An 18,571-nucleotide genomic window follows, 5' to 3' on the forward strand; every position below is an offset into this window, starting at 1 on the left:
ACTGTTGACCCTTGAACAACATGGGGCTTGGGGCGCCAACCCCACATGCAGTCAAAAATCCACGTATAACTTTGGATGCCCTCAAAACTCAATTACTGATAGCATACTGTTGACCAGAAGTCTTACCAATAACATAACAGTTGATTAACATATATTTTGTATGTTATATGCATTATACTCATATACTGTATTCTTACAATAAAGTTAGAGAAAACAAAATGTTATTAAGAAAGTCATAGGGAAGAGAAAATATATTTATTAATCATTAAGTAGAAGTAGATCATCATAAAGTTCTCCATCCTCATTGTCTTTACATTGAGTAAGTTAAGAAGGGGAAGGAACAACAGGGGATGGTCTTGCTGTCTCAGGGGTGGCAGAGGAGGAAGAAAATCTATGTATAAGTGGACCTGTGCAGTTCAAACCTGTGTTGTTCAAGAGCCAACTGCATTCTACAGCACGTTAGCATGTGATTAGTGCTGTGGGGAACAAAGAAGTAGAAGGGCATAAAGGGGATCAGGCATGTTGGGGAGCAGGGTTGCATTTTTAAAATGTATGGCCAGGACAGTCCTCTTCAAGGTCATATGTGAGCACAAGCTTGAGCGAGGTGAGGCTGGGCCATATGCATATCTGCAGGATAGGCATTCCAGGTTCGAGGAACAGCCAATGCAAAAGCCTGAAGCAAAACTGGCCCAAGTAGGCCACGAAAGAAGCATGACTATGGGTCTCCCCAGATCTTTCTCACTCTCTACCAAAAAACAGGTTTTGAAATTAAAGAGAATATGATTGCCAGGCCAATGCCTAAGACATACATTGATGCCTTGTTTCTCTTGTATGTGCTTTCTCCACAGTCACATGACACAGGCAATCCCTTTTGACGACCCTCGGTTAGAGAGCTGCCAAATCATCCCTCCGGCTCCTCGGAAGGTGGAGATGAGAAGGGACCCCGTGCTGGGATTTGGTTTTGTGGCAGGCAGTGAAAAGCCAGTGGTCGTTCGCTCAGTAACACCAGGTAAGCACCCAATCCCAGTTCTTGGTTTCCTGGGAATGTCTGCCACACTCTGCCAGAATAACTACTGTTCAGTTTCATAAGTGTCCAGGCTGTGAAAGCTGGATATGTTTTTCCAAAACCTGGATAGAGTCACTTCACCAGAGGAACAGAAATGCTTCCTCAAACTAGGTTTTAAACTGCCAAATCCATCATTATCACCAGACTCAGGAAAATACTGAGCCATCATCTATAACCATGGAAATGAATCACTTCTTAACTTATGAATGCAGACAAGAAGAGGCAGGCCCTGTACTGTATTACAGTAAGCCCATGATGAATTCCTTAGTGAAAAAAAGGAGGAAGTGGTTACAGTAGGATTTAGTCATAGGGGTAGTTGGATTATTTCACAAGTATGCACTCCCCTCCCTTCTCATTAGAGGCAAAATAAAGGGAAAACCATACTCCATTGCTGTTGGGCTGGATCAGGTGATTGACAATGGCCAACGGCATATTAGCAAAGATGACATAAGCAAAGGCTTGAGACGTGCTTGTGCAATTGAGCTTGTTTCCTGAGCTTCTGCCATGGCTATAAGAAGAGAGTTTTTGGCTGGGTGCAGTGGCTCACGCCATAATCCCAGCACTTTGAGAGGCCAAGGCTGGTGGGTCACTTGAAGCCAGGAGTTTGAGACCAGCCTGGCCAACATGGCAAAACCCCATCTCTACTAAAAAGACAAAAAATTAGCCAGGTGTGGTGGCGCTTGCCTGAAGTCCCAGCTACTCGGGAGACTGAGGCATGAGAATCGCTTGAACCCAGGAGGGAGAGGTTGCAGTGAGCTGAGATTGTGCTACTGCACTCCAGCCTGGGCAACAGAGTGAGACCCTGTCTCAAAAAAAAAAAAAAAGAGTTTTCCCCAGGTAGCTGTGATCTCTTCCATATGAGCCCCATAATGAACACACGAGGCAGCAAGCCTGCAGTGGGGAGCCAAGTACAGCCTCATCTGCAGTTTGGTACACAACTGTCCAGCTAAGCCTAGCTGAAATCAGCCAGCCTGTGGTTATCCTAAAGACCCATAAGCATGAGAAGAAATGATCATTGGTCACCTGTTGAGCTTGGGGGTGATTTGTTATCCAGCAGATGCTGACTAATACAGTATATGTCAAATCTTTAAAATTCTACAATATGATTAGATAATTAATGTACTTTCCCTCAATCTTCGTATTACAGTATACAGATGTTCCGCTGTCAACACAGCTGAATACAGTGGACTATGATGCAATCGCCTGAAGTGGGCTGCCTTTACCTTTCCAGAAACAATGTGCTTTTATTATTTATTTATTATATATGTATTTATATGCTTACTGTAATGGACTCATATTGGATTTATTTTCAGAAAAAAAGGGGAATTATCTTCCATGCCCTTTCTTCATAGGATTTTGCAAATCAGTAACAGGATTCAGCAGTAAAGTACTACACTTAGGAGCACAGACTCTGGCATCAGACTGCCTGAATCTGACTCCTACCTCTGCCCCTTTTTAGACTTTTTAGCTTCCATGTTAAATTCCCTGCATTTCAGTTTGATGTAACTTCTCTACATCTTCTGTATAATGGGGATCAGAGTAGTATCTACCTTGTAGGGCTATGGAAAGGATGCAATAAATTAGAAGAGTGCCAGGCACATCCTGGTCATTCCATAGATGTTTACTTTTATTGTTATTGTTATTTAACTCTAAAATGTTTGGCCAGTTGAGTGTCTCAATTAAGGGAAACGAAACTCAAGTAGCGTCCTGGTATAGATTTTAAAATTTGGTTTCATTTTTCGTTTTTCATTATTTTGACATAATATGCCCCAGGGCAAGCACCACAAATAATTAACCACTTTAGACTTGTGCTATCTGCTAAACTTTTTTATTTCATTAAATGTAGATCATATTTTAGTTCTCTGTGTAAGATTGTTGAGCTCGACACAATTGAGAATTCTCAAAACAGATCTGTTGCTTCTTATGATAACATGCTTTGTAAAAAAAAAAAATAGAAACAATGTAGATAGTATAGAGGAGAAAGTAAAAAAAAAAATCACCTAAATTCCTACTACCAAGATATAGCCATTATTGATGTAGACAGCAATAATATGTATAGTAGATATAATTCCGTGCATACACAAACACACATATGTAATACATATGAGATCATATATTTTACACATACATAATACATATATATAGATGTATGTATGTATATGCAGACACATTTTTTCCTAAATGGAATAATATTTGGCATGCTGTTTTATAATATTGGGATAATCTAACATCTCTGATTATGAGATTCTCCGAAGTATGTGTCTTCCCAGGAGCTGAATGAAGATTCAAGTCTTATTTTTTATTTTTTGGTATCATCTCACTGTTTCTACAACCTCTCTCCTTCCTGGCCCTCAATTCTCCTTAGCTTCAAAGACACTAATACCTACTCTTACACAATTTTGAGAAGAGTAGAAAAAAGGTAAAAACAAAGGTCAAAGAGTACTATTTCCAGTTATTGTTATGAGTGAAAACATTGGTCAAACAAGCTGTGTCTATCATAAAAATGACTCTACAGAAGTCCCAAGTGATTTCAGTGCGTGACTAGATTTTCTGTAGTAGGCAATCCAGACTTCAAAGTAAAGGCCATGAGACAGTTCTCTTGAAGTGTGCCACTGTTTTGTATTTTGGATGGGACAGTGTGTCTCTTCTCCAGAATTCTTGATTAAAGTTGCTTGATTAGACAAGAATAGTTTCATTTGATCAAAAAGCATGGGTCAAATATAAGAGTATGTTAATCTGAGAGTGGTTTTCTTATTAGAATAGTTAACATTCGTCCTTCAGTTACTTTGAAAGTTTTTCTGTATTTGATCAGCGTTTGATTGCTACCCATTTGTTTGACTGAATTTGAGTGATTACTTGCACATAATACTTATAATAAGTTTCCCAAGTGGTTTTTCTGAGTTCCTTATGTGTGCAAACACTGAATCCCACATCTGTAAAATGAATATTTTGTATCAGTAATATAAGGACATGTTAAGTTTCTCCTACTCTCTTACTTCCCGGAAGGAAGACAAATTTATGCTACAGCTTGAATGACACATATGCCTCGTATCTGGGTGGGTAGAGAACAACTGAATTACTTTCAGTTCCATGTTCTGGGTATGAAGTGTTCATTTCAATTACTAAATGAAGTAATAGCAATAATATTTGAAAGATAGCGTTTCAGCTGCAACTATCACCCAGAGTCAGACCTGTGGAAATATAGTTAAAATTATAGTACCATATGCTACCGTATCAATATTTGGGAGGTAATTGCACATGTCTAGAGCTTAATTCAGGTAATTGTTTTTATATCTTACTTAAATATAGATGTATGCTTCACTCAGATGTGGTTTTAAGTTTATGTGTCAAGAAACCTGGCAGTGACTAGGTTCTGAATTATAGGAACAAATTCAAAAGGGACATTCACCATTCTGAACTTGGAAGAGTCCAAGCTAAGATCTAGTCCGTCCTTCAAGTCAATTCTTTAACCTGTGTAAGCCTCAATTATCTCATTATATGGAAGGCATTATAGTATTCAGTGAAGTTACTAGGCCAAGAATTTAACCCATTGCCTGGTGCATAATAAATGCTGAACAAATATTAGTTTCCTACTCCCTTCTTGGAAACAACGGAAAGAGAAAAGGGCCAGGCACAGTGGCTCAAGCCTGTAATCCCAGCATTTTGGGAGGCTGAGGTGGGAGGATTGCTTGAGCCCAGGATTTTGAGACCAGCCTGGGCAACACAGTGAGATCTTGTCTCTACAAAAAGTAAACAGGGCCGGGTGTAGGGGCTCACGCCTGTAATCCCAGCACTTTGGGAGGCTGAGGCGGGTGGATCACGAGGTCAGGAGATCGAAACCATCCTGGCTAACACGGTGAAACCCCGTCTCTACTAAAAATACAAAAAATTAGCTGGGCATGGTGGCGGGCGCCTGTAGTCCCAGCTTCTGGGGAGGCTGAGGCAGGAGAATGGCATCAACCCGGGAGGCAGAGCTTGCAGTGAGCCGAGATCGTGCCACTGCACTCCAGCCTGGGCGACAGAGCAAGACTCCATCTCAAAATAAATAAATAAACAAACAAACAAACAAAATTAGCCGGGTGAGTGGTGTGTGCCCATGGTCCCAGCTACTCAGCAGGCTGAGGTGGGAGGGTTGCTGGAGGGATGCACATGGAGCTGTGAGGGAGGAAGGGGACACCTGCCTAGCCAGCCAGATCAGCTGAATCAACCCTGGCGATCAATGGGGCAACAGATGACACAGCCAGATCACCTTCACATCCGAACACCCTTTTACTGAGATATCTTACGATTCCCCACAGTATGCTGTCTCCCTACTTGTAATAAGTACATAAATGCACCTTTGTTTGAATCCAGCTGTGCCGAATTGTTGCAGCTTTGGCCACAGGGTATCAACACAACTGATTGGCTACCTGTTGAGAGAATAGCTCCTTCTAGGGGCCTCACCACACACACACACACACAATATGGCCTGTTGACCAGCAGCATCAGCAGCACCTGGGAGCTTGTGAGAACTGCATTATCTCACCCCGCACCCCCGCATGGTAACAAGATCCCCAGGTGATTCACCATAAAGTGTGAGAAGCACTGCTAGACTGAGTCTCGACCTTGCTTGCAAAGTTTTAGAAAAATGTGGATGCCTGGGTCCCATCCCGAAAGATTCTGATTTAACTGGTCAGGGTAAAGCCTGGGCCTCAGAATTGTCCAAAGAACACCCAAGTGTGGTTGGGTTTCGGTTTTGCTGATAGCACCATTTGCTCACAGTGAATCATGATCAGGAGAGGAGGCTTGGGATAGGTTGCTAATGGTCTTCTCACCTGTGCTTCATTCTATTTGTCTCCAGGTGGCCCCTCTGAAGGCAAGCTGATCCCGGGAGATCAGATTGTAATGATTAATGATGAACCGGTCAGCGCTGCACCCAGAGAGCGGGTCATCGATCTGGTCAGGTGAGTGACTCATTCACCTGTGTCCTGTTCTGCTTTGAAGGCTGCTGCACAGCTCTGAGGTCTCAATTAGCAGAGGAAGAGCCTCCTGTGGGACAATTTAGGATGGAAATGCAAGCCAACACATACACATGGTTGAAAATGCTGCTGACACTGACCTGTAATATCAAAACACATACTCCATAAACACAAAACTCCTAATTGTCCACTCTCTGTTAACATTGAAGGTACATATGCCTCAGTTTAAAATTTTTATGACTCCTATATCCAAAGGTTCATTTTTTCCTTCCAGAATTACTAACACATTGATTTTTCATAATCAGGGAGATCAAAACACAATACCTGAATTCAGCACAAAGTGATGAGTAATTTTATATACATAATCCCATGGATATACAAACATACAGTTCACTGATACTTCATATTTGACTAAGTGCTTCATTACTGAAATTTGAGATTATCAACTGTGGCAATAGGATAATTAGGTCAAAGCTAAGAGTTTACAAAATACAAGTGGTTTATTGGTTTAGTTTTATTGTAAATATAAGTAGTTTGTTATGTGATATTCTTAATGGGGCACCAGAAAATGTATTTTATGTTATGTTAAAAAATATTGGTCAAGAATCCCTTTAGAAGCCCACTGGAGTTATACCTCCTTAGTGAATTTAAGGGAAAAGAGTTCTTTAGAAGTTTTTTAAATGAAGAAGCTGGGCCTATCATATGAATGGATCCATTCATTCTATGGGAGTGTTGAGGAATAAGGAGACATGACATTTGTCTTTTATAAACTCATATTTTCAACCAAGATTGAAGCCAAAGCTGAGGTTATCAGAACACTTTTCACTGAAGAGGGGATTTCCTAACATTTATGCTCACTCATTACGGAAAGTGTTAGGTTGGTGCAACAGTAATTGCTGTTTTTGCCATTGAAAGTAATGGCAAAAACTTCAATTACTTTTGCACCAACCTAATACATCTGTACTTTGGGAAAGGCACTAAGTGGAGTATTTCTGGGGTCTTTCAGAGAAAGTTTCTTTCTCAAGCCTAGTTCAGCTTTTGCTTCACAAAGAGGTTCTGGAGGGTCAAGCACTCTTGGAAGAACTGGGAGAGGAGCAAAAAGAGAAATAGAAAGAGAAGGCACTTAAGAGTAAGCAACCATCCTAGTTTTAGCATGTAAAAGGCCCATGTCCCAGGGAAACTCTGGAATGGTTGGTCACTGCTATGGTCTGAATGTTAGTGCCCCCTCAAAATTGTTATGTTGGAACCTGATACCCAGTGTGATTGTATTAATAGGTGGGGCCTTTAGGGAAGTGATTAAGTCATGAGGTCTCTGCATCGTGAATGGGATTAGTATCCTTATAAAAAGTTGAAGAGAATTGCCTTGCTCCTTCTCCCATGTAAAGACACAGTGACAAAGTACTGTCTTTGAGGAATGTGGCCTTTACCAAACACCAAATCTACTGGAAGATCTTGGACTTCACTGCCTCCAGAACTGTGAGAAATAAATTTCAATTATTCACAAATTACCCAGTCTAAGGTACTTTGTTGTAGCAGCTCAAACAGACTAAGACAGTCACTCTACTTCAGTCTGGGCTTAATGGAGTCTTCCCAGATGGCTAGAAAAGTCATACTTGTACTCCTGGGGCATCCAGATCTCCAAGGAATGGTCTTACACAGGAGCAGACACTGAGACTTGTGTCATATTCACTATGCATCGGGAACAAGACCTGAGAATGTCTCCAATCTTTCTATGGACAAGGGGAGCCAGAATATAGAAAGACTCTGTATGTAAGAGCCCTTGGGAAGGAGCTGCAGTGTTCATCTGGAATAACTTCTCTCTTGAGATGTGTGTGGGTGTCAGCAGGGGCATACCTTATCTAGGCAGGCTCTGAGCCTTCTATCGGCTTGCATCCTGGAATGCCATGTTTGGGCTTGATGGCAGAAGTTGCATGGATGTTTTGTTTTCCCCTAGGTGCGCACCTCTGTGATTAGTCCTATTGATTTTTGTGCCTGGAGGATGATAGAAGAAATAAAATATCTGTGTTTAGGTTGGCTGTGACTTAATTGCCTGCTGCAGGGCAGTGACAGAGAAAAACCTATCTGAAAGTGTGATCACTTCCTAGCAGTTGTTCCAGGGACTTTTAGAAAGATTATTTCCAAGAAAGATATTTTATTTCTGGTTTAACGCTTGTAGAAGAAAATGGCATATCTGTAAAAAAAGCGCTCTCTATAGAACTTTACATATAACAAAATGAACCAGTTAAAAGAGAGGATGGCAAACAGCTCCAAGTTCAAATCCAGCCTGCCACGTGTTTTTGTAAAGTCCATCAGCTAAGAAAGGTAGGTTTTTTTATACGATTTTTTAAAAGTTGAAAAAATATATTTTGTGACACATGGAAATCATATAAAATTCAGATTTTAGTATCCATAAATATTTTGCTGGGTATAGCCATGTTTGCTCATTTGCATTTTATCTATGTCTGCTTTCCTGCTACAATAACAGAGTTGAGTAGTTGCAACAGAAACTGTCTGGCTCACAACCTTTTCACTCTTACTAAACCACAATGTTAAAATAATGTATGTCTCACTAATGAAAATGATCACACATTACAAAATATTCCTGTGCCTTCCCATAAGTTTAGTCATCTGTCTGCCATAATGTGTACTAACCTAAACACTTAGCTCTTGTAAAATAATCCCCTTTTTACTGGGCTCCTCAGCTGATATATGTTTTAAGGTCTATATCTTACACAAGATAAATTCCCTTTCTGTATAATAAAAAACATCCCGTTTTCTTAGCCACTAAGGAAATTTGGAAAAACACTCATCATTTTGATAACACTGTAAAATTCTCTCTTTAAAAATTGGCATCCATTTGCTGGCTTTAGTGGTGTAGTCTTGTTTTGTTCCTTTTCCCCCATTGCAGCATGTGTTCATGGATCATTTTTTGTTCCCAGATCCATTTGTGTTTCTTGGTGGATTATTTTTCTTATCATTTAGTTACTCTATTATGGAAAATTATTTTTTTCTTGAGAAAATGAAAGAGTTTTGCAGAGACCAATTTACTGCTATACTAACAACATTTTGGTTTTTTCATGTAGTCTCAAAAAGCTATAATTGCTGCACTGAAATTAGATGAATTCTGTTCACTTCATAGTCTTCTAAGTTGTTAACTCTAACTCAGACTGTATAATGGTGTTTGAGGACTAAAATCTTTGAAGAATCCATGCCCTTTACAAATTACCATATCTTTCTTCTTTAAAAGTATCTAAGGATAATTTTCTTTTCACAATTAGACTAATTAACTGAAAGCAGTCTCCAAAATTTTATTTTTAAAAAGTAAGGAGTATTATTGCCCATAGAAACATTATGAATTGTGCCTTGCCTTCCCACTCCCACGGCTAGCCAGCCCAATTAAATTCATTTGACTTCAACAAAGAATTATTGAGGATTAACAGACATCATATAAGGCACTGAGCATGTATAGATACGTAGGCATGATTCTTGCCCTCAAGGAGAAGAATTCTAATTAATTTCCATATATTTATGACTGGACAATGCTGTTGGCGAGGGTAGTATTTGGTAGGAATGTTTGGTGGAGATGGATGGTGTATTAAGGGATATTATTGATGCTGGTAAAGAGTAGCCATCAACGCGAAGTGGAAGGGCAGGTTTATGCATGAGAAGGGAGTTGTAAAGTAGATCTTTCCTTTGACCCTAGAAACCCCAGACCTTCTTGATGGACACTCACTTTCCAACCTGCAGATATTGAAAAAAAAACCATTGCCTAGGTGGCTGTCCCGAATCACAACCTCAAAATTTGGTCCTTCAAGGCAGCAACATAAATCTACTAACTCCTGTTAGAATGGGTGCACTAGATTTTTTGGATTAGAGATGCAACTGGGAACCTGATAAATGCCATAGACTTTTCCCTCCATCCAGAGAAACCCACGTGTATACAAAGTTCTGCATACAATATTAGAATGGTTTTTGACTCCCTAAAGTTAGTCCCAGTTTTAGAGCCGGGGCAGCAGACTCTAAGAATGCTGTCTCTCTTCCTCCCCTTCTCCCCCTTCCTCAGTACCAGATGCTAACATTGAAGAGTCAAGCTTATAAACAACTTGCTCTTATCCTTTTCTATCAAAGCAGTTGAAGTGGAAAATTGCCCATCCCATAATAAGAAGGTACACTGGTCAAACTGGAGACTAATTCCCCTTTCTCCCAACATCTGTAATAGGGCAGCTAACTATCCCTCCATCTGCCCTTCTCCCACTATTTATGTTGATTATTCCTACTAATCTAATTGATGAGCAGTGTTATAGTTATGGCTATTTATCTACAGAGGGTTGCTCACATCTGTCAGACATGTCACCCCTTCTATACTAATACCCTGGGAATTGGAGAGCTTTCCTGGGTAGCGGTAGTGTTCTTTCAATAAGAAAGTAACTGTAATAAGAAATAAGAATAAATGATAGGGGAGTGACATTAACAAGGTGGCAAAATGAGGTCCCCCACTGGTATCCCCCATAGCAACTATAATTTGGCAGCCACCTATGGACAAAAGTGGCTTTGTGGGAGTTTTGGAATCCAAGTAGGTCACTAAACCCTGGTGGAGCCCAAGACTGAGGAGGGCCATTTTGAGAAGGCAGACCCACCCAGGCCTTGGTGGCAGACTCACTGACTATGATCCCAAATACAGACCCAGAAACAACCACATCCCCCCGTGGAGTTGGCTACAGCCCTGTTTGGCCTTAGTCCTACCACTGGCATTATCCATCAAGGGACCCGGGAAGAGTCATACCTACCTTGGCCTTGGGTAACAGATCTGCTGACCTTGGCCCCAGTTGTGGACCCTAGAGTGGCTTGTGACCAAGCTCCAGCCTCTCTCAGCCATTGTCTGCGAGCAGTCCCACCTGTCCTGGGACCTGCTGGGAAATAGGCCAGTTCATACCCCCAGAGGTAGGCCTAATGAACTTAGTTCCACAGATTTTGAAACAGCCCCATAATTCAGCTCCAGCCTCTCTCAGCCATAATCTAGGAGCAGTCGTGCCCACCCAGGGACACCCTGTGTCCCCTCAGGCAGGCCTACTGACCTCCATCTGAATGTGGATCCTGAAGTGGCCCCATAACCTGGCCCTAGCTCCTCTCAGCCATGGTCAGGGAGACAGGCTTCTCTGTGCCCTAGAGGCAGACTTGCCAACCTTGATCCAACTGCAGATCCTGAAACAGCCCTGAAACTCAATTCCAGCCACTCTCATCTGGTATTCAGGAGCAGTCCTGATTCCCCGACTCCACCTAGGGACCTGTTGAGTGACATGCCCATTTGTGCCACCACAGGCAGGCCTGCTAGCCTTGGTCCAACTACAGATCTTAAAGCAACACTGTGATCCAGCTCCAGCCCTGCACAGCCACAGTCCTTCCCACCCAGGAAACCACGAGGAAGCATGTCCATCTGTGTCCCCAGAAGCAGGCCTGCGGATCTTGATCTTGACTGTGGACCCTGAAGTAGCCCTATGACTCATTTCCAGCCCCTCTCAACCACAGTCCAGGACCAGTTATGCTTACTCAGAAACCTACCCAATGGTCCAGCAATAACCCTCCCAGGGATCAGGTGGAAGCTACAATGATCTGTGTACCTAGTAACAGGCCGATGATCTGTGGAACCTTGTCCCAGCATCAGCCCAATTAATGAAGATCCTAGAAGCATTCCAGTCCACTCAGGAATGAGATAGGATCCATGCTCTCCCAAGGCTCTGGAAATAGGCCTACCCCCCATTGCAAGACCCCATTGCAGATCTAGCAGTAGTCACATGATCTAGCTCTACTGTAATTGCAGAGGCAATCTCATCAGTCAACAAGAGAAGGTCTTTACCTGCTGAAACCAGTCTATAAAGACCAGTCTGTAAAAACTGGAAATCTAGCAGACCCCATTGCAAATACAGCAGTAGTCACATGATCTGGCTCCACTACAATTGCAGAGGCAATCTCATAAATCAACAAGATAAGGTATTTACTAGCTGAAACCAGTCTATAAAGACCAGCCTATAAAGACTGGAAGAGGGCCGGGTGCAGTGACTCAAGTTTGTAATCCCAGTACTTTGGGAGGCCGAGGTGGGTGGATCACTTGAGGTTAGGAGTTTGAGATCAGCCTGGTCAACATGGTGACATCCAGTCTCTACTAAAAATACAAAAAGAAAAAAAAATAGCCTGCTGTGGTGGTGTGTGACTGTAGTCCCAGCTACGCCGGAGGCTGAGATGGGAGGATCGCTTGAACCCAGGAGGCAGAGGTTGCAATGAGCCACGATCACACCAGTGGACTCCAGCCTGGGCAACAGAGCAAGACTCTGTCTAAAAAAAAGAAAACAAAACAAACAAACAAAAAAAACGACTGAAAGAGATGTTTGCCCTCTCAAATGCACAGATACCAACTCAAGGCTACATGAATCACGAAGAATCAAGCAAACATGACACCACAAAAGGAAACTATTAAGGCTTCAATAAGCAGCCCCTAAGATATATCATTTGAGATATATAAATTACATGAAAAATAATACAAAATAATCACCTTAATGAAGCTCAGTGGGATACAAGAGAACACAGACCACCAAGAAAAACAAAAAGCAATACATAAACAAAATAAAAAGTTTAATAAAGAAATACAGGTCAGGCGTGGTGATTCACATTTGTAATTCCAGCACTTTGGGAGGCCAAGGCAGGCAGATGGCTTTGAGCCCAAAAGTTCAAGACTAGCCTGGGCAACATGGCAAAACCCCATCTCTACAAAAATTAGCCAGATGTGGTGGCCCGAATCTGTAGTCCCAGCAACTTGGGAGGCTGAGGTGGGAGGATGACTTGAGCCCAGGAGGCAGAGGTTTCAGTGAGCCAAGATCACACCACTGCACTGTAGCCTGGGCAACATAGCCAGACCCTGTTTCAAAAAAAGAAAAGAAAAGAAAGGAAAAAGGAAAGGAAGTAATAAGGAAAGGAAAAAGGAAAGGAAGGGAAGGGAAGTGAAGGGAAGGGAAGTGAAGGGAAGGGAAAGGAAGGGAGAAAGAAAGAAAGAAAGAGAGAGAGAGAGAAAGAAAGAAAGAGAAAGAAAGAAAGAAAGAAAGAAAGAAAGAAAGAAAGAAAGAAAGAAAGGAAGGAAGGAAGGAAGGAAGGAAGGAAGGAAGGAAGGAAGGAAAGAAGGAAAGAAAGAAGGAAAGAAGAAGAAAAGAGGAGAAGAGAGGAGAGGAAAGGAGAGGAGAGGAGAGGAGAGGTGAACTATAAAAAGAACCAAACAGAAATCCTGGAGCTAAAGAATACAATGACAAAACTAAACATTTTAATAGCTTCAACAGCAGACTCAATTATGCAGAAGAATCAGCAAATGTGAAGACAGGCTATTTGAAATTACCCAGTTAGAGGAACAGAAAGTAAAAAGAATAAAAAAGAGTAAAGGAAGCATACAGGTCCTATGAGATACCATCAATTGAATGAATATATGCATTATGGGAATATTAGAAGGAGAAAAGGAAAAAAGGGGAAAAAGCTTATTTAAAGAAATAATGGCTGAAACGTCCTAAATCTTGGAAGGGATATGGACATCCAGATTTATACAAATCAAAGGGTCTCAAGCAGAATCAATCCAAAGACTACTCTAAGACACATTATAACCAAATTTTTAAAAGCCAAACACAGACATAGAATATTGCCCCTAAGAGATATCATTTGAGATATATAAATTACATGAAAAATAATACAAAATAATCACCTTAATGAAGCTCAGTGGGATACAAGAGAACACAGACCACCAAGAAAAACAAAAAGCAATACATAAACAAAATAAAAAGTTTAATAAAGAAATACAGGTCAGGCGTGGTGATTCACATTTGTAATTCCAGCACTTTGGGAGGCCAAGGCAGGCAGATGGCTTTGAGCCCAAAAGTTCAAGACTAGCCTGGGCAACATGGCAAAACCCCATCTCTACAAAAATTAGCCAGATGTGGTGGCCCGAATCTGTAGTCCCAGCAACTTGGGAGGCTGAGGTGGGAGGATGACTTGAGCCCAGGAGGCAGAGGTTTCAGTGAGCCAAGATCACACCACTGCACTGTAGCCTGGGCAACATAGCCAGACCCTGTTTCAAAAAAAGAAAAGAAAAGAAAGGAAAAAGGAAAGGAAGTAATAAGGAAAGGAAAAAGGAAAGGAAGGGAAGGGAAGTGAAGGGAAGGGAAGTGAAGGGAAGGGAAAGGAAGGGAGGAAGAAAGAAAGAAAGAGAGAGAGAGAGAAAGAAAGAAAGAGAAAGAAAGAAAGAAAGAAAGAAAGAAAGAAAGAAAGAAAGAAAGAAAGGAAGGAAGGAAGGAAGGAAGGAAGGAAGGAAGGAAGGAAAGAAGGAAAGAAAGAAGGAAAGAAGAAGAAAAGAGGAGAAGAGAGGAGAGGAAAGGAGAGGAGAGGAGAGGAGAGGTGAACTATAAAAAGAACCAAACAGAAATCCTGGAGCTAAAGAATACAATGACAAAACTAAACATTTTAATAGCTTCAACAGCAGACTCAATTATGCAGAAGAATCAGCAAATGTGAAGACAGGCTATTTGAAATTACCCAGTTAGAGGAACAGAAAGTAAAAAGAATAAAAAAGAGTAAAGGAAGCATACAGGTCCTATGAGATACCATCAATTGAATGAATATATGCATTATGGGAATATTAGAAGGAGAAAAGGAAAAAAGGGGAAAAAGCTTATTTAAAGAAATAATGGCTGAAACGTCCTAAATCTTGGAAGGGATATGGACATCCAGATTTATACAAATCAAAGGGTCTCAAGCAGAATCAATCCAAAGACTACTCTAAGACACATTATAACCAAATTTTTAAAAGCCAAACACAGACATAGAATATTGAAAGCAGCAAGAGAAAAGCAACTTGTCACATGCAAGAAAACCCTTATAAAACTATCAGTGGATTGCTCATCAGAAACCTTGCAGGCCAGGAATGGATGATATATTCAAAATGCTAGGAAGAACCGCCAACCAAGAATACTTAGCCAGGGGCAGTGACACCCACCTGTAGTCTCAGCTATTTGGGAGGCTGAGGCTAGAGGATCACTTGAACCCAGGAGTTTAAGACCAGCCTGGGCAACACAGTGCGATCCCATCTCAAAAAGAGAATACTATACACAACAAAGCTGTCCTTCAGAAATGAAAGAGACGGAAAGATATTCCTAGACAAAAGCTGAGGGAGTTCATTGCCAGTATATCTGCCTTAGAAGAAATGCTACAGTGAGTTCTTCAGGTTGAAATGAAAGGATGCTAAGTAACTACCTGAAAACATGAAAGTATAAATCTCACTGGTAAGGGAACTACATAGTTAAATTCAGAGTACTCTAATACTGTAATGGTAGTGTATAAATCACTTTTAACTACAGTATGAAAGTCGAAAGACAAAAGTATTAAAAAATAACTACAGCTACAACTTGTTAATGAAAATACAACATGTAAAGTATTACATCAATAACATATAATTTGGGGGCAGGGAGAGTTAGACGTGTAGAGTTTTGTATACAATTGAAATTAGGTTGTTATCAGCTTAAAATTAACTATTATAACTATAAGGTGTTTTATGTAGGCCTCATGGTAACCACAAAGAAAAAACTATTAGTAGATACACAAAAGATAAGGAGAAAGGAATCAAAGTATATCATTACAAAATATTAACAAATCACAGAAGAATACAGCAAGAGAGGAATGAAGTGACAAAGGCACTACAAAACAGCCTGAAAACAATTAACAAAATAATAATAGTCAAACAATAGTTAGTTTGTTCAATAGTTAGTTTGACAATACTCCAACCTTTGTATAATAGGAATCGCAGAAGGAGAAGAAAGAGAAAAGGGGCCAGAAAGTATATCTTTAAAAATAATGGCTGACAAATGAGATTACATCAAGCTAACATCTTCTGCACAGCAAAGGAAACAATCAACAAGGTAAAAAGACAACTCATAGGATGGGAGAAAATATTTGCAAACTATTCATCTGACAAGGGATTAATAATAATAATATATAAGGAACACAAACAGCTCAATAGGAAAAAAAAGAATAATCCAATTAAAAGTGGGCAAAAGATCTGAATAGACATTTATCAAAAGAAGGCATAGAAATGACCAACAGGTATATAAAAAATGCTCAACATCACTAATCACCAGAGAAATACAAATCAGAACCACAGTGAGATGTCATCTCACCACAGTTAAAATGGCTTTTATTAAAAGACAGGCAATAACAAATGCTGGAGAGGATGTTGAGAAAGGGGAACCCTCATACCATCACTGTTGGTGGGAATGTAAATTAGTACAGCTACTAGGGAACACAATATGGAGGTTCCTCAAAAAACTAAAAATAGAACTACCATATTATCCAGCAATATCACTACTAGATACATATTCAAAATAAAGGAAATCAATCTATCAAAGAGATATCTGCACTCTCGTGTTTATTGCAGCACTATTCACAATAGCCAAAATATGGAATCAACCTAAGTGTTCATCAATGGATGAATGGATAAAGAAAATGAATGTAGTATATATACACGGTAGAATATTATCCAGCAATAAAAAAAAATCCTTTATTTGCAGCAACATGGATGAAACTCCAGTTCATTATGTTAAGTGAAATAAGCCAGACACAGAAAAACAAATATTGCATGTTTTTATTAATATGTGGGAGCTAAAAAACTGGATATCAGGAAGATGGAGAGTACATTGATAGTTACCAGTGGCTGAGAAGGGTGCAGGGAAGGGAGGGATAAAGAGAAGTTGATTAATGGGTACAAAAATACAGTTAGATGAATAAATAAGACCTAGTGTTTTATAGATCAGCAGAATGACTACAGTTAACAGTAATCTATTGTATATTTCAAAATAGCTAAAAGAGAATTACTCAAGTGTTCCCAGTATAAAGAAAAGTTAAATGTTTAAGATGACAGATATCCCAATTACCCTGATTTGATCATTACACATTATACGAATATATCAAAATATTACATGCACCCCCAAAATACACACATCTCTTATGTATCAATAAAAAAAGTTTATTAAAAAATAATAATAGTGGAAAACTTTTCTAATCTGGGGATAGATAGCAACACTTAGATACAGGGAGCGTATGGATTTCCAAATCAAATTTAATCCAAAGGCTGGGCATGGTGACTCACACCTGTAATCCTAGCATTTTTGGGAGGCCAAAGTGGGAGGATCACTTGAGGCCAAGAGTTTAAGACCAGCCTGGTCAACATAGTGAGACCTGGTCTCTACAAAAAAATTTTAAAAATTAGCCAGGCATGGTGGTACACACCTGTAGTTCCAGCTACTCGAGAGGCTGAGGCAGGAGAATCACTTGAGCCCAGGAGTTGAGGCTGCAGTGAGCTATGATGGCACCACTGCACAGCCTGGGTGACAAAGTGAGATCCTGTCTCAAAAAAAAAAAAAAATCAATCCAAAGAGGAGTACACCAAGACATATATTAATCAAACTACCAAAAATCAAAGACAAAGAAAAAATTCTGAAAGCAGCAAGAAACTAGAAACACACCATATTAAAAGGAGAGCCAATACAACTATCAGCAGATTTCTCAGCAGAAACCCTACAAACCAGGACCTAGTGGTCCAAAGTGGGCCAAGTCTAACCATGTGGCACATTAAGTTTTTCTTACTTGGGGGGCCCAGCAAATGACAGAGCTGTAACTGGCCTTTAGAACCTGAGTCTTATCTTGTATGCCCCATAGACACACTCCCTTTTTTGGATTATACACAAGTAGTCTGTCTCCTATCCCAGGACTGCTAAGCAGTTGCCTTGATTTTAGTAGGGAGTTGTCAGGAGTACCTGCTTATTGCAGTCGATGGGAGATTGGCAAGACTATTCAGAGCAAAATAGGCCATTTAGAAGGGATCCATCCAAAAATTAGATCCTAGCACACCTGTCTTTTCATCAGTCCCACCTCATCAGAATTATAATGGAAAGTCAAATCAGATCATGTTCCAGGGGCATTCTGTCTGCAGAAGAGTATATTAGAAAGGTCATCTTCCTGCCTAATGTTAGATGGACTTAGGTGCACCATGATGCTGCTTAGTAAAATAACAAAGCAGGGCCGGGCATGGTGGCTCACGCCTGTAATCCCAGCACTTTGGGAGGCCAAGGCAGGCAGATCATCTGAGGTCAGGAGTTCCAGACCAGCCTGGCCAACATAGTGAAACCCTTTCTCTACTAAAAATACAAAAATTAGCCGGGCATGGTGGCGCATGCCTGTAGTCCCAGCTACTCAGGAGGCTGAGGCAGGAGAATCGCTTGAACCTGAGAGGTGGAGGTTTTAGTGAGCCGAGATCACGCCATTGCACTCCAGCTTGGGCGACAGAGACTTCATCTCAAAAAATAATAAGAATAATAATAACAACAAAGCAAAGAACATCTGCCAAGTATCTGACACATAAAATATGCACAATGATGTGTAATATAATAAGGCCTTATTAAGACCAGCAAGCAACTCCAGTGAAAACACAAAAGAAACAGCTCTATGGTATGCTGACACTACAAATTGT

General features: G+C 40.6%; 1 protein-coding gene and 1 pseudogene across 14 annotated transcripts in view; one reads left to right on the top strand and one right to left on the bottom strand.

Moving 5' to 3' along the window:
- Positions 1 to 18,571, top strand: part of FRMPD4 (FERM and PDZ domain containing 4) — a 902,085-nt gene that overhangs the window by 786,434 nt on the left and 97,080 nt on the right. For all 14 annotated transcript variants that reach the window (NM_001368398.3, NM_001368395.3, NM_001368402.3 and 11 more), the window contains 2 exons: positions 849 to 1,009; positions 5,907 to 6,009. In NM_001368398.3, the coding sequence (NP_001355327.1) occupies positions 849 to 1,009; positions 5,907 to 6,009 (264 nt within the window). The remainder of the gene's footprint in view (positions 1 to 848; positions 1,010 to 5,906; positions 6,010 to 18,571) is intronic.
- RN7SKP290 (RN7SK pseudogene 290) lies at positions 5,131 to 5,325 on the bottom strand (annotated as a pseudogene).

The sequence above is a fragment of the Homo sapiens genome, chromosome X (assembly GCF_000001405.40).
Source record: "Homo sapiens chromosome X, GRCh38.p14 Primary Assembly".
Taxonomy (NCBI): Eukaryota; Metazoa; Chordata; class Mammalia; order Primates; family Hominidae; genus Homo; species Homo sapiens.